The following is a 23,562-nucleotide window of genomic DNA, read 5'->3' as shown; positions in this document are numbered from 1 at the left end:
CTTGGGAGGCTGAGGCAGGAGGATCTCTTGAACCCAGGAGGCAGAGGTTGCAGTGAGCTGAGATTGTGCCACTGCACTCCAACCCCAGCAACAGAGTGAGACTTTGTCTTTAAATAAATAAATAAATATTATAGTAACTACTAGCACTCATTGGGTACTCAATGTATGCCAAGTATTAGGCCAAATAATTTCTATGTTAACTCATCTAATATCAAAACAGTCCTTTATACTGTTTTATAAATGAGGAAACGAGGGACAAAAAATGAAAGTAATTTGCCCAGCATCATATGGCCAATAGGAAATGGAACCAGGATTTAGATCCAGGCAAACTCCAGAGCCTACTCTCTTAGTTAATACACCATCATATCTATGTATGTATTTAATAGAAATAGTCATTGAACAATCTTTAAACTCCAGTCTTTATTTCCCCATTGCCTGGTATATAGCATAATCCTGTCATGTCATGAGTACCCAGTGAATATTTAGTTGAACGTTAAATGAACTTGAAGTGGAAATATTAAATAAACCAGCCAAACAAAATTGTTTTCTACTTGAACCACTGTTTGCAACTTGGGATTAGTAAATATTTTAATTGTTTAAAGATCCAAAACTTAGTAAAGTTATTCTTGCATAAATGTAGAATTAGATATTACTCTATTCTCCAATTTGCCTTTCACTAGTTATGTAAATAACCAGACACCTCTTATTTTTTATCTCGTTTTGCTGGGCTTCCCAAATCCACTCTACTTTCTGAATTCTCTATTTCTGTTTAATGATGTCACCATACTTTTCAGTTCTCGAAATGCAAAACCACGTGCCAGGCAGTTGGGGGGGCACAATGGTATATGAGACTAACATTATCCCTGCTTTTATAACGCTCATAGTATAGTCTCAAAGGAAATTCAGAAGTACCAACGAATAATTTACACATGTGATGGAATGGGAGGTAAAAGGTGCTATGGAGGGATATCATAGGGACTGGAAAAAACTCACTACTGTAGAAGTGACATTTAAGCTGAAAACCTGAAGGATAAATCAGAATTAGAGGAAGAGAATAAATGTAAGTGGCCTGAGCAGAGGTGTTAATAACATGTTTGAAAGCCTAGTGATAAGGGAAAAGGCAGTGTACATAAGGAACTAAAGAAAAGTCAGTCTGGGTTGGACACAGTGGCTGTCTGTAATCTCAGCACTGTGGGAGGCTGAGGCGGCTGGATCACTTTGAATTCAGGAGTTCAAGACCACCCTGGGCAACGTAGCGAAACCCCATTTCTACAGAAAATACCAAAAAATTAGCTGGGCATGGTGGCACACGCCTGTAGTCCCAGCTACTCAGGAGGCTGAGTCTGGAAAATCGCTTGAGTCTGGGAAGCAAAGGTTACAGTGAGCCAAGATCGCGCCACTGCACTCCAACCTGGGTGACAGAATGAGACCCTGTCTCAGGAAAAAAAAAAAAAGAGAAAGAAAGAAAAGTCAGTCTGACTAGGGCAGAAAACAAGGAAGAAGGAAGTGGTAGAAGATAACGATACAGAGCTAGATACTGTCTATCAAACTGTATTTAAAATGTTGGGCTTTAGTCTAAGGGTAGTAGAAAGCCATTAAAGGGTAAGGGAGTGACATAATCAAAATGTGCATTTTTTAAAGATCTCAGTGACTTCAGAATGGTGAGTTCATTACTGAAAACCTGTTAAAAGACTGTTGAAATTATACAAGATAAAAATAATGGTAAACTAGGATGGTAGAGCAAGGATGGAGAAAAGTGTATTAATTTAAGAATTAGAGAGTTAATGATTGGATGAAGACATGAAGGTAAGGAATAAGAAGAGAATTACTACCAGATTTTGACTTGAGCAGTTGGATGGATATATTTACTATTTACTAAGATAGGAACACTATGGTAAAATCAGGTTTGGAAAGAAAGATGAGTTAAGTTTTATACTGAAGAAGATGTTGCATAGAACTTCCAAATGGAAAAGTCTAGTAAGGAGCTAGATATGTCATTGTAGCTTGGAGAGAAAAGTTTGGACTAAAAATACAGGTTTGAGGCTAGGTATGATGGCTAATGCCTGTAATCCCAGTAGTTTAGGATGGGCCAAGGTGGGAGGATCACTTCAGCCAAGGAGTTGGAGACCAACCTGGGCAACACAGTGAGACCCTGCCTCTACAAAAAATGTTTTAAAATTAGCAAGGCTTGGTGGTGGGTTCCTGTAGTCCCAACTACCTGGGAGACCAAGGTGGGAAGATCACTTTAATGCAAGAGGTCAAGGCTGCAGTGAGCCATGATTGTGCCACTGCACTCCAGCCTGGGTGACAGAGCAAGACCCTGTCTCAAAAAAATAAATAAAAGTAAATAAAATAATAAAAATATAAATTTGAGAGTGATTAGATACACATGTAGTTGATGCCTTAGGAGTAAATGTGATCGATCACCCAAGGGAAGCATGTAGAATGAGAAGAGAGCCTAGCACAAAACCTGACATTTCTCCCAAAATTTAAGGATCAAGTAGGCAAAGAGCAATAGCAAAGGAGATTGATAAGGAACATTGAAAGAAGAAAGGAGAGTTTCAATGAGAACATAGAAATTAAGTTAAACTAGTTTTGGCTTTAGGTGGTTAGTGTTTGATGAGTTTAACAGAGATAATTTTCTAATAGAGGAGGGGGAGCTAGATTGAGTGATTTGAAAGATATGTATTGCAATTCATTTATGAAATTGAGTTGTGAAGGGAGGGATAGGATAGAGCAGTAGCTGGAAGAGAATAAGCTGGAGAAGGATTTTTTTGTGTGTGTGGTGGGGGGCATTGCTTGAACAGTATTAAATGCTCATGAATACTGTCCAAAATAGATAGAAGAGTCAAGGGAAGCAAGATGGAAAGGCAGAGTCCATGAGAAGGAAGCAGGGAGAAGCAACACTGCTCTTCCATTAGAGAAAGGGATGGTTGATAATGCAGTGTAGCTGGTGATTTCTATTTTCTCTGTGAAGTAAGTGGTGAGGTCATCTGTACGGATGAAGGAAAATGGGTAGGTTTGAAGAATGTGAAGAAGGTACAGAATAGTAATTGAGGGGAATGGAGGGTTAGATGACTAGAGAAGTGTTTGTGGGCAAAGTCGGAGCTCAGATTAGATGAATTTTCAGTGTGTTCTGCTGTGTAATTTTCCTCCAGCATGATTGATACCCCAGATGTGTAAACGCAAAGGTAACCAGTTGAGTTTATCCAGGATTGGCATTTTGCTGTCCCAGTGTACTAAAAGACAGTGGGGCAAAGGGAATTTAGAATTTTTGCAAGAAATTACTTGAAATTATGTGCTACCAGACATAAACTGGATAAGGAGAGATGTTGATGGAGAGTGAGAAAATAATGAATCAATGGACTTGATATTCCAATGGGAACATTGAACAAGTGTTATGGGAGTGAGAGAGTAAGCTCAAAAGATCAGAGATTTGTAATATAGAGGAAATTCATGTGTTAGAGTTGATGACAGGGTCCAAGATGTGATTTTTAGGAGTTGAGAGTACATTGAAATATATGAGAGTGTCTTTAAAGATGGGGTCAGAAAATAAGTCTAGAACAATGGATCCTCCTGGGGCTTTGAATTTATTTGGTGTTTTGGTGGGTATTGAAGTAAGGGGCGAACAAATGAGCCACTTTGAGAGTCATCAGTGAATGACAGTGAGTCATCAGAAATTTGGTAAATAGGGGTTGAGCTGAAGGCCTAAGGGGCAGGAGGTTCTGCGTGGTGGGTAGAAGTATTATGCTTCTCACTTGGCTTACTACAATATTCTTACTCAATCTCCCTGTATCCAATATTTCTCCCCTCCATAGTCTCATACATATTTAATAGATAACTCTTAAAGCTGACATTGGCAATGCCACTTCCTTGCTGTAAAGTCTCCAAAAAATTCCTTTTGCCAAGAAACTGAGGTGAAGAGCCCCAGGCTGACATTCAGAGCCTTTGTCGATTGGGCTCACCCTCATGGTCTGTCTTTCCATCTTTGTCATCTCATCACCTAATCTTCACTGCAAACAAATAATAATCAACCCCCACTGCCTACAAACACTCCACAATTTCCTGTTATTTCTTACATCACTTTGTTCTTATTCTTTCTGCTGTCTAAAATGCTTTTCCCACATTGCTGCATATTCAGTACATACTGGTACTTCAGAGCCCCAGATGAGATTACAGCTTTCATGAAGAACTATACCCCTTCAGGTCAAAGTCATTTCTCCCTTCACTGGGCTTTAATAGTAGTCCATTTATCCTGTTAATGAAAGGCACTTGCCATTTTCTTATCTGTATTTGTGTGTCTTATCTTCCTAGACTGTAAGCTCTTTGAGGACAGGATTTGTGTCTGTCTTTGAATCTCTTCAGTATTTTATACAGTATAAACATGGAACAAGTGAAAAAACTTCCGAAGTATTGTAGCGTTCATTGTATTTGTTTTATGTTTATCCTATAATTTACTAGTAGATATTCATATTTATCAATAAATGATAAGAAAGTTTGACCTTTTAACTTTCTCATTGAAATTTGTTAAAGTATATATATTATGCTTATATTCACAGCCCCATGCAATCATTCGTCATACCATTAGATCTACAAACAGGAATGCCAGAGCTGAACGGACAGCTTCAGAAATAAATTGTATGTGTTTGGTTTACATTTTCCATTGGTGGTTTTGGAGGGTTGTGCTGCGTGTTCTTGTATGTTTTGTAGAATAATAAAATTTCAGACTAAGGCTACATACTTCAACATATCAGAATACTTTTAAAATAGGGGTTGCTTTTCTGGTTTCGATGGAATTCCCTTGGTTTGTAATTTCTGAATAATTTTTATTTTCCAGTTATGGACAAAATCATGCCCATTGCTGAAAATCTGCAAGAAAAAAAAGAGAAAATTAACATTGCATGCAATCACATCACCCAGAGCCAACCCATAGTTAATATTTTGCCACATTTCTTTCATTTTCCATGTGTATTTTTACATGGCTGAATTTATGCTATGCATAAAATTTCACTTAACAATAGAATTAATTTCCATATATTAGTATAGACTTTATAACCATTCTGTTTAGCGATTGCATTCTGTTTCATTAATTGATATATTGTAGTTAGCCAGTTTACTCTCACTGTACATTTGGGTTGGTTTCAGGTTTTAAAAATCAGATTAGCACTAAGATGAATCTTTCTAAAGGAAATATTTCAAAAGCGAGATTAGTTTTTAATTTAATAATCATTGACAGATGAAAATTTTCTATCAATATTTGTCACCTTAGCTAAATTAATTTAGAACTACAGATTCGTAAAGACGTTTTAGTTCTCTGGTTTATTGCCTTAAATGAATACTTGTTCTGAGAGATTTAAAGTAGTTTATATTAAAATAAGGTTTATGACTAACAAAATCAAATAAAATTGTAAACCATACTAGAGGAAAATAATTCATTAAATATTTGAGCTAATTAGAATGATTGCCAGTGTGCATTTTGTTTAAGTCTGAGTTTTCATAAACCCAAACATTTCTAGCTTTCTGGACATAGCTTTAAAACTCTTAGTCACTAGAGAGTTAGAGTATCTTTCCCTTCTCAGTTGTTTCAATCAGGCCTTTTCATAATTAAGCCAGTAATTCAAGATTTAGTGTCTTTGTTAGTGCCTAGATTGATGATATCTTCTTATGCTGTTCTCTCCTTTTATAATCTGAGGTGAAGTCTGTGGGCCTCCAATACTAAAGAGAAAAGTAACAAAGTTGATATTCCATTGTAACATCATATTCTTTATTTTATGCAGTTCTGTAGTATTCCATTAATGTAGTCTATTTTATCTATCTTTTCTCGTATAGTTTTGGGTTTTGTGTCATATTTAGAAGGCTTTCTCGATTCCAGAGTTATCAAATAATTTTCCTATTGTTTCTTCTTGTGTTTTTAGTTTCTTTTTTTAATATTTAAAAACCTGATATACATTATTTGGTAGAAGGTAAGAAGTATGGATTCAACTTGAGTTTCTTTCTAGATGACTACTCATTTGTTTCATTATTTATTGAAAATGCAATCTTTCTACTCATGGATTTGATATGCCATCTTTATTATATACCGAATTGGCATAGATATTTTAGGGTTGTTTCTGGAAATTCTATTCTATTCTGGAAATTCTATTCTGTTGCATGTCTGTTTTTGTGCCAGTAGCATACTTTTGATTATTATATCTTGATAATATCTGTTAGAACTAATCCTACTCCTACTCTCTGCCCCTCCCCACAACACACACATATGTACCTTGTCACACTTCTTTTTCATTATGACATTTGGCTATTGTGCCTTCTTCCCCACATAAACTTAAGAATCAGCTTATGTGGTTAAAAAAAAACAGAAAAATTCATTGTTTTTACACAGATCTTATTACTTTGGGAGAGTTGACATATTTATGATATTCAGTCTTCTTAATCAAAATAGGCTTCTTCAGAGATAAGATTTAGTTCTTTTATATTCCATAATATTAGCCCAAAATACTAATATCCTCATAGAGTAAGTTCTGGTTGCTTAAAGCACCAGACAAAGCGGTAGAGTAGAAGGTCACTTTATTAATGACTTGTCTTTAAATTTTTGTGAAACTTCTTTTGTATTTATCAGGAATGTTTTACCACTTTGCTTTTGTTGGTTTGATAGATTTTATACTATTTATTTCTACTCTGTTTTTTGTTTCAGTGTTTTAAATTGAAGTGGTAGCTTACATACAGTAAAATGCTCAAATCTTACGAATACTCCAGGGTAAATTTTTAAATATATACACTCATATAACTACCACCCAGCTAAAAATATGAGTTAGAACATGATCAGAATCTCAGAAGGTTCCCTCACGAGAGCCTTCACAATCAGTTTTCTTAAATTCTATACTCGCCTGCCCTCTCTCCGCCCAGGCGAATTACTATTCTGATCTCTGTCACATAAACTGGCTTTTACCTGATCTTGACCTTCAGGTAAATGGAATTATACAAAAAGCAACTTTTGTTCCTGGCTTCTTTTACTCAACTTTATGTCTGTTAGAGTCATGTGTAGTAATAGTTCAGTTTTCACTACACTGTAGTATTCCATTGTATGACCATACCACAATTTATCCATTCTTCTGTTGATGAGCATTTGATTTATTTCTGGTTTTGGGCTATTATGACTACTGTAAGCATTTTTACAGTGTATTTTTAGTGGACATAAATGATTATTATGAATCACACCCAATCAGTCTAAGACCACCAGGGGCAAATGTGTAGTCCAACAAAGTCAGGTTTACTGACTCCCTGCAGTGAGAGAGAACACACACCAGAGGAACCAAACCATTCAAGATTTCATCAAACAAGGGAAAAGAAATACAGGATTTTGGAAAGAGTAGAGTTCAGGTGAATTTTAAATGATGACTTAATGCAAAGTAGGGATGTATCTGAAAGGGTGAACATCAGGTCTCCGCTGTTAAAGTAAACCCGGGAGTATGTTTCCTTGGAAACTTTTTGAAGTGTTGTGTTCAGAAATGCCTTTATTTGAAGCTCTGCATCTGGACTGGAAATTGAGTCTGTTTCTCTGTGTCAGTGATTTAGTCCAGGCAAGAATAGGATGATTCATTCTAAATGTGATTTCATGTAGCAATGTTTCTGGCAGTCAGTGATTTTAGAGAGAGAGACATTTCTCAGTTAGAAAGCAGAATAACTCAGAGGGGGTCATTATATGAAACTTTACATGTACAAAGTATCCTTGGGAGAAACATTGTTTCTTGTTGACTTTGCATTTGGATTTGTGTCTGTCCTTTCAGCTTTATGAATGGCAAGACAGATTTCCTACTTTCTCAGTCTGATTCAGATATGACTGTATTAGCTAAATTACCTAATTTTTTTTCTTTTTTTTTTTTTGGTTTGTCATCTGAAGAGTGTATTGGTGGTTGAGTCGTTACCTAGGAAACCAGCTGATTACAAGGAATTGGCACCAAGGGAAGGTAGGAGGTATTCACGAAGAGTATAAGCCTAACAGTTAGTTTAATTGTATAGTTTTAGCTGACTCACAAGTAAATTTCAGCCAGGTGTTAGACTCATTCTCCAGACTGACTAAGGCTGCAAAGGGCAATAGTAAGAATAGGGACTCTACAGGTATCATCATAAAGAAGTAACAAGCATCTGTCAACAGTCCAAAACCTCCAGCTAGCAAAAAGTGGGGGGAAATGTGACTAAGAAATAAAGTACTGTTGTTGCAGGTTAAAGTAAAACAACCAGTGGCTCCAGTTATCTTTCCATGGGTCTTGGGCAGACTTTTCATGTAGTTATCAGTTTGGTCCAACTGACTTGGGTGGAAGCCCTCTTCTTTTTGTAGTCATCTGCTTCAGAAGGATTCCTTGTCACCTCTTTTTGAGGTGTCCTGCTGGGACAGTCTTCCAGCAATTTAAGATTGGCGTATGTCTCTATGTTTGAGAGACATGAATACAGGGATCAACACCCTATTTTACTGTTGCATTAGTTATTAACAGCACCTGGCAAAATTCTATTTATTGAGTTTAGAGGGCAGTTTTCCAGAAGACAGTCTCTGAATTTTAATATAAAGGTTGTTTCAGAGGAAATGCTTCCTGGACCTGTTTGAATGGAAAACTGTGTGTACTCTGAGTTACAGTTAATAACTGGAAATGTAATAAACATAGTAACTTGAGATGATGGCAGTATTCCCAGATGTATAGGATGCCCAGATTTTGGTTCATAGAGTTAATGAGCTCCAGGGGAACTGCCGTCACTTGTCATTCAGGCAAAAGAGAAAAACAACAACAAAAAACCCTTTAGGCTAAGGAAGTCTCAGGATTTCTGAAAGTTTAACCAACTTCAGTTTGAGATTTCTATTTGTCCTTTTTATCTTACCTGAAGGCTAAGAGTGATAAAGGCAATAGAGATTTTGAGTGAGAGGTACAGATGCTCCCCGATTTATGATGGGGTTACATCCTAATAAACCCATTTAAGTTGAAAATATCATAAGTCAAAAAAACATTTAATATACCTAACCTACCAAACATCATAACTTAGCCCAGCCAGCTTAAACACGCTCAGAATACTTAATGTTAGGGTAGCTGACTGGGAGCTGCGGCTTGCTGTCGCTGTCCAGCATCTCAAGAGAGTATCATACCGTATATCCCTAGACTGGGAAAAGATCAAAATTCAAAGTACAGTTTCTACTGAATGCATATCACTTTTGTACCACGAGAAAGTCAGAAAACTTGTAAGTCAAGCCTTTGTCAGTTAGGAAGCATCTATATTGTCTTACAAATCTCTTTAGTAACAGTTCTAGGGAGGTAAGTGTTTCTGTCTCCAGAGAAGTAATCACAGATTTCCCAAGTAGGAAGCGCAAACTCAAGACACGTTTTGTTTTTTTTTAACCATTGGTATAGTTGAGGCTTTTCGACAAGCTATATTCATCCTAAAAATAGACTATAATTACCAAATAAAAGCCTATATTGACAGAATAACTATTTTTGAAAAAAAAAACCTGTAACATATCTGTAAGTTCTTCTACATGAGTATTTTTTAAAGCTGCCAATTATAACCCAATTCATGACATCAACTCAGTTTTTAAAAAAAGATATGAGGTACTGCAGTATGAAACTTTTGTGGGTTTTGTTTTGTTTTTAAGCAATTTGTGATGTGTCTGCATTTTTTCTTTGTATTCTATCTTGGGCTGATTGAGCCTCTTAGATCTGTAGGTTAATATTTTTCATCAAATTTGGAAAATGCTTGGCCACTATTTATTCAAAATTTCTGCCCCAGTCTCTCTCCTCTGCTTCTGGGACTCCAGTTATATACGTAAGAACACTGAATGTTGTCTACAGGTCGTGGAGGCTTTGTACTCCCACTACACTCTTCTTCATGTATCCACACGTAAGTTTTTTTTTTTCTTCACTGTACTTCAGTTTTGTTTCTGTTGCCGTGACTTGAAGCTTATTGATCTTTTTTACAGTATTGAGTCTACTGTTCAGTGAATTTCATTTCAGGCAAGCATTTTTTGGATCTAGACTTTCAGTCATATATGTACTATACCTGTATATACACACACATCCATATATATAATTTCTGTTTTTCTACTGAGCTATTCCATCTGCTCACTTACTGTGTCTATCTTTTCTCTTAAATCCTTGAACATATTTATAGCTGTTTTGAAATTCTTGTCTGCTGATTTTAACATCTGTGTCACCTCTGGGTCTGGTTTTACTAATTTGTTTTCAACTGGTTATGGTTCCTATTTTCTAGCTTCTTTGGTTGTCTTTTTTATTGTATCTTGGACAATGTAATACAATGTTGAGCATCTGGATTTTATCCTCTTTCTTTAAAGAGTTAATTACCTGGTATGTCTACTTAATCCTTTCAAGGCTTGTGTCAGGTTTTAGTAGAGTATTCAGCAAGGTCTTTCCTCAGGTAGAAAGCCAAATTTTTCCTGGTACTGTGGGATTTCCAGAAGCTCACAGCGCTCTGTTAGCTGTTTTCTGAGATAACTTGCATACTCTTGCTTTGCCCTTAGTATTCAGCCAAAGACTTAAGAAAACTTCTTTGCATATTTTTGGAGTTCATCCTTCATACAGCTTATTTTTGGGACTGTGCCCTCTACCTAAGCAGCGCTAAATTCAAATCCTTGTTCCGTTCACCTGTTGAGACTGTTACTTTCTCTGTGGGCTCCATTTTCTTGTGTCCTAGTTTGGAAAGTGCCCCCAGGCAGAAAGTCAGGGTAAATATGGCTCTTACCACCATGTATTTTCCTTCTTTTAAGAATCACAGACTTACGGTGTCTGTGGTGCATTGCCTCCAAACAGTTGCTTTAGTTTGTACACACACAAACATGCAGACATATATATGTTTACATGTAGATAGCTGTTTATACAGAAGGGTAAGTCCAATTTCTGTTATTTAAAAATGGCCAGGTGTGGTGGCTCACACCTGTAATCCCAGCACCTTGGGAGGCTTAGGTGGGCAGATCACCTGGGGTCAGGAACTCCTGATGTCAGGAAACCTCATGAGATGGTGAAACCCCATCTCTACTGAAAATGGAAGAATTAGCCAGGCGTGGTGGCGGGCACCTGTAGTCCCAGCTACTCGGGAGGCTGAGGCAAGAGAATAGCTTGAACTCTGGAGGCGGAGGTTATAGTGAGCTGAGATTGCGCCACTGCACTCCAGCCTGGGCGACAGAGTGTGAGACTCCATCTCAACAACAACAACAACAACAAAAAAGTAATATATTATTTTCACATTTTATGTAATGTGAAATGCAGCTCTAGACCTGCTTGCCAGTGTTTCTGGTTGTCACAAAAACAAACTTTAGCTCATCTCTGTTTCAAAAGACTAAAGAGGTTCTTTATGAATAGTAGTAGTTCTTGAATTCAGATGTTTTTTAATTACGTTAAGTCATTAATGTCCCAGGACTTTTTATTTTAGATTATTTTTTAAAGTAGATACTGTATTTTATGGAATGTCTTCTAAACTTTTATTGAAAAATTTATGACATACTGTTTTTGTTTAATGTGATGAATTATGTCAGTACTTTGTGTTTGCTTTTTACAAATCTTGTTTTTAGGAATAAGGACAACTGGATCCTATTTGAAAGCGCTTTTTAAAAATATTTTGTTTCCTAAGATTGTATTTAGGAATTTTGCATCTCTATGATGCAAGTATGAGTGTTTAAAAAAATTTGGGGGGCTTTTAATCACATTAGATTTTAGAATTTTTAAATTTTAAATACTTTATGAGGAAGTAATAAACCCTCCTTTTCTATGTTTTAGAATATTTTATAGAAAAGAAGTTACTCTTTGAATATTTTGAATAACTCTGAAGTCAGTATGACTAGGCCAAATAAAATACATATTTAGCAAAATATATCAGATTCCTGAATGCCATTGTGACATTTAATTGAACAGAAGTCATTTGTTCTTTTTAGATAATTTTTAGGTAGTTTTTCTTAGTTCATCTCTGCCATGAAGCTGTAGCTTAAACCGTCTCAAAACAGAGTCTACAGCATAGAGAAAATTCTTAAAGTTTTTACTTAGTCATTTATTTTTGATGAATTTTTAAAAATCTCTTTTATACAAAAAGAACTGTTTAATTTCCTGATTCCAAACAAGAATTAAGTAGAGATGTTAGGAAGATCCCACTTTGTTATTTACTTTTGGTAAGCATAACAAAGGGGTACTCTTGTAGTCAAAAAATAACATATTTTTTGTCTTCTTTCCCCTCTTCTTTCTCCCTCCCCCACCCCATATACAAACTTGTCATTACATTTCTGAGATCAACCCTTTGAGATGCTGAGTTTGTACATACCTGTTATATATTTTGCAGTTGACAAATTACAATTTGAACCTCCTCTGAGAAAAGAAACAGAAGCACGAGATGAAATGGTAAGAATTCATTTTTAAAGCATTATTTTCACATTAAGATTTGAGAAAACTTTTTTTTTGTTAGTTGTACTTTGATTAGAAAACAAAGTAATATACTCTTTTAAGCATTAATTTTGACAATTTTTCCCGTATTAAAGTTTTTAAAAGTTTATAGTTAGTTTTATTTTTACTAGAGTACGATGTAATACACTATTTCAATCATTCATTTTAACCTCCTTAGTCTTTTGAAGGTTTTACATGATGTTATTAAATACGCAGAATTTGATTCTCAGCTTTAAGCTCTTAGGACCTTTTTTTTTTTAACTGATTCTGTTTGTTTTATAGTAAATTCTACATTCTGTATTGCCTTACTATTTTTTAAATATATTTTATTTGTTAATATAGTTTCTTTTTTAACCATTGCTGCTATTTTGAATTTACTATCTAGTTACCTCTTTCCTTATCTAAAATGAAAAAAGTGGCCGGGCCCAGTGGCCAACTCCTGTAATCTCAGTACTATGGGAGGCTGAGGCAGACAGATCACCTGAGGTCAGGAGTTCCAGACCAGCCTGGCCAACATGGCAGAACCCTGTCTTTACTAAAAATACAAAAATCAGCCAGGCGTGGTGGCATGTGCCTATAAACCCAGCTCCTCAGGAGGCTGAGGCAGGGAGAATTGCTTGAACCCAGGAGGTGGAGGTTGCAGTGAGCCAAGATCAAGCTACTGCACTCCATCCAGCCTGGGCGACAGAGTGTGAGACTCCATTTCAAAAATAAATAAATAAATAAAAAGAAAAAAGTAATGAAGCAAGATATTATTAGAGTTAGCCTAACCTAGCCTATTGAGTTCATCCTTAATGTTTGGAAGTAGTGCTCTTCTTACTGTAAATATGTTGCTGTATGATAAAACCCCAGTTTCCATGCTAAGAGGGAAAAGTAGTAGCACCAGTAAATTCATGACAGTTTAGTAATATGATATTTAGTTTTCCATGCTAATGGAGTGATGATGTAGATAATTCAGTTGTTTTCTTTTATTGTTTGCTTTGGAATATGCTCACATACTGATAAAGAAGGTTTGTCACATTTGAAGCTACCTTTAGTATGTTTATGGAATTTCTTAAGTTCAGGTCGACTGATAATGAGTCATTGACCTAAATATGTCAAATGACAAAGCAAATCTAGCTAGAGATTAAAAAATTGATTGAATGCCAAGATGATTAATAATCATGACACTGGAATGTTTTCTTGAATCAAATAAAATGGTTAATACCTGTTACAAAGTAACATTTTAAACTATATTTTTATCTTTACAGGGATTGTCATCAGACCCAAATTTCATGTTACAGTGGAATCCTTTTGTTGATGGTGCAAATACTGGCAAGTAAGTTGTTTTCTAATTTAATAACTATATTTTATTTGATTACATAAGAACAGTATGGGGCATGTGATTTATTCTAATAAGCTTTAATTTGCATTCTTGAAAAAGTTATGCCATTAATGAAGGTAAAGCTTTTGAGTTTTACCAAAAAGCATCATGTATTGATCATTAAGGTTTTTTATTTGTTTTTGTTTTTAATCAGAATATGCTATGTAATGATAATATACTGAAAGGTGAGTCACATGATGTCATGGGAAAAAATACTGTAACAGAGTTAAAAAGCCCCAGTTCATCTCTCCAATATAGTTACCTCTACAATTAAGTGAGGGGGCTGGCCTTCATGAGTTGTTCCTAACCTGTCTGTGTACTGCAATTGCCTACAGAGCTCTTTAGAAATGCAGATTCCTAGGTTCCCACATTAGGCCTATACATTTGGAGTTAACAAACTATGGCAGCCCACAAACTAAGAATAGTAAATACATTTTTAATGGTTGAAAAGAAATCAAAAGAATAATTATATTTTATTACACATGAAAATTACATGAAATTCAAATTTCAGTGTCATAAATAAGTTTGTTAGAATATAACTATGCTTATTAGTTTATGTATCGTACATGGCTGCTTTCACACTATAACAGCAGAGTTCCATAGTTACAACCACTGTATGCCTTGCAAAACCTGCAGTATTTACTCTCTGGCCCTTCATAGAAAAAGTTTGCCAACCTCTGGTATAGAATACAGTCTTTGGGACTGGATCTAAGAATCCTGAAAGCCGCCTAATTGATTGCAATGACTGTGGATAAGTGTGTGGGACCAGTGGACTAGATAAGTGCTTCTCAAACTTATTGACCTGGAGAGCTTATTAAAAGGAAGATTCTGTGCATTTAGAAAAGTTCCCAGATGATGCCAATTCTGCTGGTTTGAGGATCTACTTTGAGTAACAAAAGGTTTGATGATATACCCACTTGAATCTATGGGTCCCAACTCTAAAATTCTGAATCAGTTTTTTAACCAAGAAGTTAACTTAGTTTTTATTACATAAGAAATATAGCAAAGCATAACCATAAAAGTAAAATAAGACTTTGTGTCCACTTTTTAAAATCTTTATTTTATAGACATACAATTTGACAATATGAGTGAGGTCTTAGGTCTTCCTAAAGATTTTATACTCTGCATCGTGATCTGTCTTTTACATCCTCTGTATAGAAACTGATTTTAATACATATTTAATAGTATCTGTGTTTTCGGTTACGGTCATTTATCATCATCTAAATTGCATTTCTTCTTTGTATTAGATCAACCTCAAAACGTGCAATACCACCTCCCCTACCTCCTAAGGTGAGCTACTTAATGATTTTGAACACTAAATCCTTATTTAAATAATATAGTTAAATTTTTAAAATAATTTTGAGTTTTTTCAAAATTTTCTTAAATGTATTTTAGATGAATAGAGTTTTCTTCAAAAGAAGTGTATGATGGTGTAAAATATATAGTAAAGAAGATTTCATGAGGAATACAATATTTTTAATAGCTATTAGAAAAAGGCGGCCAGGCGTGGTTGGTGGCTCACGCATATAATCCCAGCACTTCGGGAGACAAAGGCAAGTGGATCACTTCAGATCAGGAGTTTGAGACCAGCCTGGCCAAGTGGTGAAACCCTCTCTACTAAAAATACAAAAATTAGCTGGGCATGGTGGCGTATGCTTGTAATCCCAGCTACTTGGGAAGCTGAGGCATGAGAATCGCTTGAACCCAGGAGGTGGAGGTTGCAGTGAGCTGAGATCGTGCCACTGCACTCCAGCCTGGGTGACAGAGCGAGACTCCATCTCAGTAAAAAAAGAAAGAAAGAAAAAGGCAAAAACAGGTTATTGCTTATTGAAGAAAATATTTGACTACATGGAGGGGAAACAGTTCATCATTTATCATTCTTATGACTACAATTTGACATATTAGTGGAGTCATTTTTCTTGATTGTTTCTAGTTGTTTTGTGGATTTTTATATAATTATATTAGTTATAAAAATTTTATCAGTTTTAAGGCTGATTAAAAATCACATGGCAAGTTGATAGTTGTGTTGGGCAGTAACTCACCTCTTACTTTGCTCACTTAGCCCAGTGAATTGAACTGTATAGAAGAATGAAAAAAGGTGCATTTCCCTTTCCCTAAAGACTCTGATGCCTAATGATAACTGTTAAAGTACTTTTTTGTCTTTGTACCACTAGCCAAGGATAAGCAGTTACCCTGAAGACAACTTTCCGGATGAAGAAAAAGCATCAACCATAAAACATTGTCCTGATTCAGAAAGCAGAGCTCCCCAAATTCTCAGAAGACAGAGTAGCCCAAGTTGTGGGCCTGTGGCAGAGACTTCTTCTATTGGTATGGCTAGCATTATTAGCAGCCATGGGGTACATATGGCTAGATATTGTTATCTGGGTGAATAAATCAAAGTGAAAACTGAAATGAGAGTCATTTGTTCCTATTTCAAAAAATATCTTTTTTATTTAGTCAATCCTATTATAGCTTAAAGCTTTGTAAAGGCTCTTTAATTCTGCATGGATGGGCTATAAATAGATTTCAGTTCACTTCAATCCTAATTTGAATCCTTACTAAATATTTATTATAGGATCTAGAAGGGTGAATGCATGTTTCTGCCCCCAGAACTTCAGGGTCTACAGCAGAAGGTATACCCACATACACATAACATTAGGAAAGACAGTTTATGTATGTGTCTTCTGAAATAATTACCTGGATGTAACAGAAGACCAGAGATTTCTGAGGGAGATAAAGATGGGGAATAAGGAAACTAAGCTCTTGCAGGATTTTTTTTTTCTGTAGAGATGGGGTTTCGCCGTGTTGCCCAGGCTAATCTCAGACCCCTGGGCTCAAGTGATCCGCCTGCCCCAGCCTCCCAAAGTGCTGGAATTACAGGCATGAGTGACCGTACCTGGTCCTTCTTGCAGGATGTTAAAGGGCTTGGTGAGCCTTCAGTAGGTAGATGAAATGCACTGAAGCTGGGAAATCTGAATTATGCAGTCTATTATAATAGAAATGTGAGCTTTTAAAGGGTATATACTGGAAGATACAACTGAAAAGGTGGATTGAAGTTCAATTATAAAAAGCCTTGCATATCAGAGTCAGTAGGTCAGATTTTTTTTCTTCATGATACGGAAAAACATGGATTAAGACCACTGCTAAAGATGCAATGCTACCTCTATAGAATCTAGAGAAAGACACCAAAGATAACTTACCTGAGAGTAGAGAATATTCCCCAATAAAGGATCACCCAAGTGAAAGACAAATAGTGGGAGAAAGGGGAAATAATTTTTCAAGGAAAGTGCTTATTTGTGTGGTCATTCAACTTTTAACATGATTCTCTTTAGGAAATGGTGATGGTATTTCAAAACTGATGAGTGAAAATACAGAAGGATCAGCACAAGCACCACAGTTACCACGAAAAAAGGACAAACGAGACTTCCCTGTAGGTATAACAGGCATTTAGCAATTAGTTGTAAATAATACTATATTTATCATGCAAGGGGCATAGTCTGTTTAATTCAGTAATTCAAGTAACAGAAGTTCTAAATGTCTCAAGTTTCTTTTTAAGACTTAGGAGGTCTTACACTAGTAAATTTTATTTTTCCCATAGAAACCAGCCATCAATGGCCTTCCACCCACCCCAAAAGTTCTGGTAAGGAATATTTTTATGTGAACTATTTGCCGTTTTTTCTCTCTTTAGAAGCAGCAATATATTGGCTATCAATATACTTGAGCCTTTGAAAGTTAAGATATCATAAAATACAAAGATATTGAATGCATTTGGATATCTCATCATGTATTCTAATTTGAGTGTGTGAATTGGAATTGACAGTGTTTCACTTTTTGTAAATACTGGCAGTTGAGTCATCAGATTAGCCTACAAAGGCCTATTTAATTTTAATGCGATGATATTAATAGTACTGTGTCCTCTTCTTGATGTGGATTAAATATCTTTCTACCTCTAAAGTGATTTTCACATTGGACTATATACAATTAAAAGGAACCAGGGAAGCTTATATTAATGCATTTTCCTGGCCAGTCAGTGGAACTTATCTGTGAATGGGAACCCCATGATCCCATGAATGGGATGGGAACCAATCGTATGAATGGGATGCTTTATACATTGTCCTTTTTTATTCAGTGAAAGTCTAATGTATAATATAAATATCAACCTTTTTGTCTCTTATGACTATTAAAGAGTTATACTGCAATTGTAATCACTATAATGTTACTGAATAAAATTATCCATTGTTTCACATTAATAATTGTCAGTCCTAAAAAATAGTAGTAACTTAAAATTCCTAGACTATGTTATTGATGTATGTAGATCTTTTGGTAAATTTGATATTTGTGCCATAAAATAGTGGATTACAAAAGGAAAGAATATGAGACTGTCTTGGTAGTAGGGGTTTAATGATGTGAAAATATGAATTTTGTTTTGGAATGAAACAACAAGCATACGCAAATAAGAGTTAATTTGGTATTTCAATGATGTTAGTTATTTTCCAAGAATATATAAAATTTTCTAATCAAATAAGTTAACATTTCTTTCTTTATAAATAAGATGGGAGCATGCTTTTCAAAAGTTTTTGATGGCTGTCCTTTGAAAATTAATTGTGCAACATCCTGGATACATCCTGATACAAAAGGTAAAATGTTTGAATTTTATATACATCTCCAATAAAATATTTATTATGGGAAAGATCTTTATGATCAGTGACTTGAAGTTGTTTATTTTAAAAATACGACTTTAGAGACCTAATGGTATAGGAACCTGCAACAACCTAAATAGGTCAATAGGGTTTTGGTTTAAAGGCGTTAAAATTTAGGAGTGTATAGGAGCTATTCTTGATTAAAGGACTAAAGAGAAATCACAACTGATTGCATCCTTAATTTAGAATTTTCTTTTACCGTAAAAGGACGTTATTGGGACAATTTATAATCTCAATTAGTAAGAATTATAGATAACCTTGTTTATTGTTTAAGTATTAATGTCTTGTGGTTATATGACTTTTTTTCCTTAATGTACACAAATATTTCAAAGTAAAGAGGCATCATGCTCATAAGTTATCTTAAACAGCTCAGAAAACAAACATTTACATAAGGAAGAGAGAAGGATCAAGCAGAAGTAGTAAATGTTCAACATTTGTGGAATTTGTGTTACAGGTATTTAGGAATTATTTGTACTATTACAACTTTTCTGTACATCTGAAATGATGTTAAAATAACTTTTTTAAAATGTAGACTATGTTTCTGAAGTGAGGAAACATTTTCAGAGGCAAAAATTTGGAATCAAATAAATCTGGGTTTGGATTCCCACTCTGTCATTACCATGTGACTTTGAAAACAAACATAACACCTCTGCTTTTCAGTGTGATTGTTTGAAACATGAATCACTCCCGATATTTACTTTATTTCAAGGAAGGAACAAGCCTACCCCAGTGTCTAGCAATTAGCAAACAGAAGCTATTAGGCAGTAGAGGATTTCAGGAAATGTGTGTTTCTACTTAATAATAAAGACAGGTTATAATGATTGGCTTTAAATGCCACTATTAAAAAGTATGACAGAGGGGGTATATATATGTGTGTGTGTGTGTGTGTGTGTGTGTGTGTGTGTGTGTGTGTGTGTGTGTGTGTATAAAATAATTTTTTTTTAGAGACAGAGTCTTGTTCTGTTGCCCAGGCTGGACTTCAGTAGTGCAGTCATAGTTCAGTGCAGCTCAAACTCCTGGGCTTGGGCAATCCTCGTGCCTCAGCCTCCCAAATAGCTGTGACCACAGGTGTGTATCACCTCTCCCAGCTGATTTTTTATTATTTAGTCTCTTTTAGTGTAAAACAATTCCTCAACTTCTGATGTCAACTTTTTTGAGGCCACTTATTTTGTAGAATGTCCCTTAATTGGGGTTTGTATAATGAGTCCTCATGCTTGAATCAGGTTATGCATTTTTGATGGGAATAACACAGAAATGTTACTGTGCATCTTCTCAGTACATCATATCAGGAGATACATGGTATCAGCTTGTCCAAATACTAGTGATGTTAATATCGATCTGTTGGTTAAAGCAGTGTTCACTAGCCTTCTCCATTCTCAGGTTACTATTTTTTCCTTTCTGATTTATAGGTAATTAATATGGAGATGCACTGAGATTATGTTTATAATTATACTATTGCCATTCAGAATTTCACTCACTCAGTTTAGCATCCATTGACAATCTGTTGATAGCCATTGACAGTTTATCTTCTTTCCCACTTATTCATTCGTTTATTTATATCAGTTTAAACTTATTAATTCTTATTTTATTCCATGCGATATGATCTATCTCTATTATTTATTTTCACACTTAAATTGTCCCAGAATTTTTGAGCAGTGGGAATGCCTGTGTTCTTTTGTTTGAAATGTCCTCATCATTTTTTAGCACTTCTTTACTTTCTGGCACAGCAAGATTTCTAGGCTCAGCATCTACTTTTATTGCCCCAGAATTGGAAGCAGTCTTTCTCTAAGAAGCCCTGGTTCTTTTTAGTGGAAAGTAATATTTAGAAACCAAGATCTGGATACTAGGTGTGCTCATTATTTCTAGTGTGTCGTGATTTATAATTTATATTAACTTTTTGTTTCCTTGGTCAAAAGAGTGTTTGAGGTGTCTTGCAAAAATGTGTAACTATAAAAATCTTAAAATACAAAAATTATGTTGAAAGGCAGGGTTATATAGTAAGATAAAGTCAGAGTGAGTTAGTCTAACATAGAATATATCTGCTTTTAAAAAATAAGAAAGGAATTGGGGAAAGAGGTAAAGAAGGTGATACAAATTTAAGAAAATAATTTTATTTTAGATGGATAGGTGGCTAATTCTTGATGCCATTACAATGTAAAGTCATTATTTTAGTGAATGATTTCAGAAGATGATGGTAAATTCTGGTGATTTATCTCAACTATTTTAGATCAGTACATTATTTTTGGAACTGAAGATGGTATTTACACACTGAATCTCAATGAGCTACATGAGGCAACGATGGAACAGGTAATTAGGCATTTTAATTCAAGAAATTAATTTAAACAAATTGAATAAAGAAGTGTCTTAATTTTAAATCAATCTGTGTAGGCCCCAATTTTAATTTTTATGATTTAAATATTTAAAGGGATAAAATTGTACTCTTTGCATGTTCATGTTGAAAGATTTTTTTTCTTAAGGGTTTGATAATTACCTGAAAGTTAGAAAATAGTTATTTTTATATGATTTCAGAATGTTGGAATTTAAAAGATTAAAATAATGACAATGAGAGAATCTTAATTATCTTCTTTTTCTTAGTTATTTCCACGGAAGTGTACTTGGCTGTATGTTATCAATAATACTTTAATGTCATTATCAGGTATGTATGTGATGATGAAAAATAAACCATAGATAAGCAGAGAAATGTAATTTTAATATACACCATTTTTAAATGTTATTTGTAATTCTGGATGACTATAATCTAATATAGTAACTCTGGGACTTGTGGATATTTGCTACCCACCTAGAATGGGAAGAAACTTTGGGAAGGGATCCTGTCTTCAGTTAGGGCTGCACTTTCCAAACCCACCCAGCATCTAAACACCTGAAGGGTATCACAGTGCTTATCACTAGAGGCCGTTCCCTTCCACTCAGCCTCCTCCACTATCACTGTCACCACTCCTGGCCTCCTTTGGGAATTAACAGGAAAGAAGCAGAGGATCACACTATTTTCTTTCTCTGCGATCCTGAACAAGTCACTGTCTCTCAGCCTCATTTATCTTAATTATAAAATGAGGATGATGGGGTAACAGTACAGCCTTATGAGGTTGTGAGAGTTAAATGAGATAATATCCAGAGTGCTTAGTAAACTGTAGAGTCTTATACAGATGTTTGCTGGTGAAATTCATGTTGTTCTGGACACACATTAACTATCTTGGACTGATTCTTTAAGGTCTTCTGAACAAGATTCCAGGGTAACCTCATTTTATTCTTTCTTGGTTATTATTAGGGGTGAACGGGTGGGTAGGTGGTGTTTTAGGCTTTTTTTTTTTTTTTTTAATTCTTACCTATGAAAAAAATATTTTCTTATATTTTAGATTTAAATGACTACCAAGAAGTTTGCTGATTGCTTTCATTTTGGTAGTAGAGTACAAGATAGTTAATTATTATTTCTCTCTAGTAGAGATTTTTTAAGAATCTGTATATTTGAGCTAATAACACTGTTTATGGAGAGCATATTATTTGATTGTGTGTTAAATGGCTTCTAAAAAGCTGGAGTCCTCAAAAGAATATTTAATATATTTTAATTATGCTTCCCCAAAATCTTTTTTACTTTTGTTTGGTAAAATATTAATATGTTAATATTTTATATTACTGTTATGAAAATAAAGCCAATTCTGTTTGAGTTGACAATTATGAATTGTATCATATAAACTTTTCTCTAACTCTCTTACTGCTTATCCCTACTCATACTTGTCTTTGGAAATAAGCTTAAAAATTACACAGGGTACATCTTAGATAGCAACGCCCAATAGGAGGCATGTACATGTGTGTTTAGCTGCCTGGCTAGCTGGGTAGCAAACTATGTAGATTGGGGAAATGGAGAAAGGAAGGGTGTTTAATGTTTAGGCAGAATATTTCTGTTCTGAGAACATACAGATAATTTTGTTGAGGATAAAACTGTGTATATGTGTGTGTATATATGTATGTTTTCTAATAATAAAAAGATAAATATTGTTTTGTATTGTTATATTATCATACCATATATAGTGAGAAATCAGATGATGTTTACCATATCCATCCCTCTTACTTAATACAGCCATATTTTTTATTATATGGAATTGTAGCCCTGTTATCCTTGTATCATGGCTTATAATATTGGTTGGTTTTACTTTTTTAAGTATTTCCATCTGTTATATTTAAGACTTCATTCACAATGATTTTTAATCCAAGGTAATTTGTTAAGTTATTGATAAATAGGTCTGTCCCAGAGAAATAATAATATAGCTTTATAGAATTTTCCATCTTGTATTAAAATAATCACATGTACATCATTGTAACTCAGTCCATAACATAAGATTTTGTACAACAATTTCTTTTTGTGTGCTGGCATCATTAAGGTTTAGTCTGCCCAGATCACCTATTAGTACCTAATTTATATATTCTGAATTAAAATTATCTGTTAATTTAAAAACATTTTATCTATTGTCTTTCAAAATAGTATTAACTGAGGGTTTTTTTGTGTGTGTTTTTCTATTTTGCTTGGCTTTTTGAACATTACTGGACTCTCGTTTTAGAAGGTAATTACGTTTTCTTTTTCTCGAAAATTGTATTTCTCTGCTGTAAATGATTCTCAAAAAGGTAACATGTTTTTCTTTTATAGGAAAAACCTTTCAGCTCTACTCTCACAATCTTATAGCTTTGTTTGAACATGCCAAAAAACCAGGATTAGCTGCCCATATTCAAACTCACAGGTTTCCAGACCGAATACTACCAAGGTACAAAATATCATTTTGATTCTACTGAATGAGGGGAATTAGTGTTTATTTTAAAAATAGCCCGTATTTCTTGCCCAGTAAAAAACTATGTCTTAATTTTCAAAGGTAGTTTAAACTAAAGTGTATTATATCTGGAAAAGCTGAACGTTTTCTGAACTTGACCATGAGAATCAACTGTGGAAGTTTTATAATACAGACTGTCAGGCCCTTCCTCAGTCCTATAAGATGAGATAGTGTGGAGTTAGGATCCAAGACAGTTTTTTAAGCTCCTTTCTGTCTGATTCTGATGCAACTGATTTACA

The 23,562-nt window shown here is 34.8% G+C and overlaps 1 protein-coding gene across 14 annotated transcripts in view; it reads left to right on the top strand.

The window, feature by feature from the left end:
- MAP4K5 (mitogen-activated protein kinase kinase kinase kinase 5) overlaps positions 1 to 23,562 on the top strand; it is a 142,606-nt gene that overhangs the window by 99,973 nt on the left and 19,071 nt on the right. For 5 of the 14 annotated variants that reach the window (XM_047430898.1, XM_047430893.1, XM_047430891.1 and 2 more), the window contains 12 exons: positions 4,560 to 4,638; positions 12,271 to 12,380; positions 13,673 to 13,740; positions 15,033 to 15,075; positions 15,960 to 16,113; positions 17,118 to 17,215; positions 17,384 to 17,425; positions 18,338 to 18,422; positions 20,713 to 20,792; positions 21,081 to 21,141; positions 23,060 to 23,062; positions 23,146 to 23,260. In XM_047430898.1, the coding sequence (XP_047286854.1) occupies positions 4,560 to 4,638; positions 12,271 to 12,380; positions 13,673 to 13,740; positions 15,033 to 15,075; positions 15,960 to 16,113; positions 17,118 to 17,215; positions 17,384 to 17,425; positions 18,338 to 18,422; positions 20,713 to 20,792; positions 21,081 to 21,141; positions 23,060 to 23,062; positions 23,146 to 23,260 (938 nt within the window). Of the gene's footprint in view, positions 1 to 4,559; positions 4,639 to 7,902; positions 9,880 to 12,270; positions 12,381 to 13,672; positions 13,741 to 15,032; positions 15,076 to 15,959; positions 16,114 to 17,117; positions 17,216 to 17,383; positions 17,426 to 18,337; positions 18,423 to 20,712; positions 20,793 to 21,080; positions 21,142 to 23,059; positions 23,063 to 23,145; positions 23,261 to 23,562 lie in introns of those variants that run through there. The other 9 variants (XM_047430897.1, XM_047430896.1, XM_011536377.4 and 6 more) reach the window with 4 other exon arrangements.

The sequence above is a fragment of the Homo sapiens genome, chromosome 14 (genome assembly GCF_000001405.40).
Source record: "Homo sapiens chromosome 14, GRCh38.p14 Primary Assembly".
NCBI classification, from domain to species: Eukaryota; Metazoa; Chordata; class Mammalia; order Primates; family Hominidae; genus Homo; species Homo sapiens.
The sequence above is the reverse complement of the archived record's forward strand: the minus strand, read 5'-3'. Positions and strand labels throughout refer to the sequence as shown.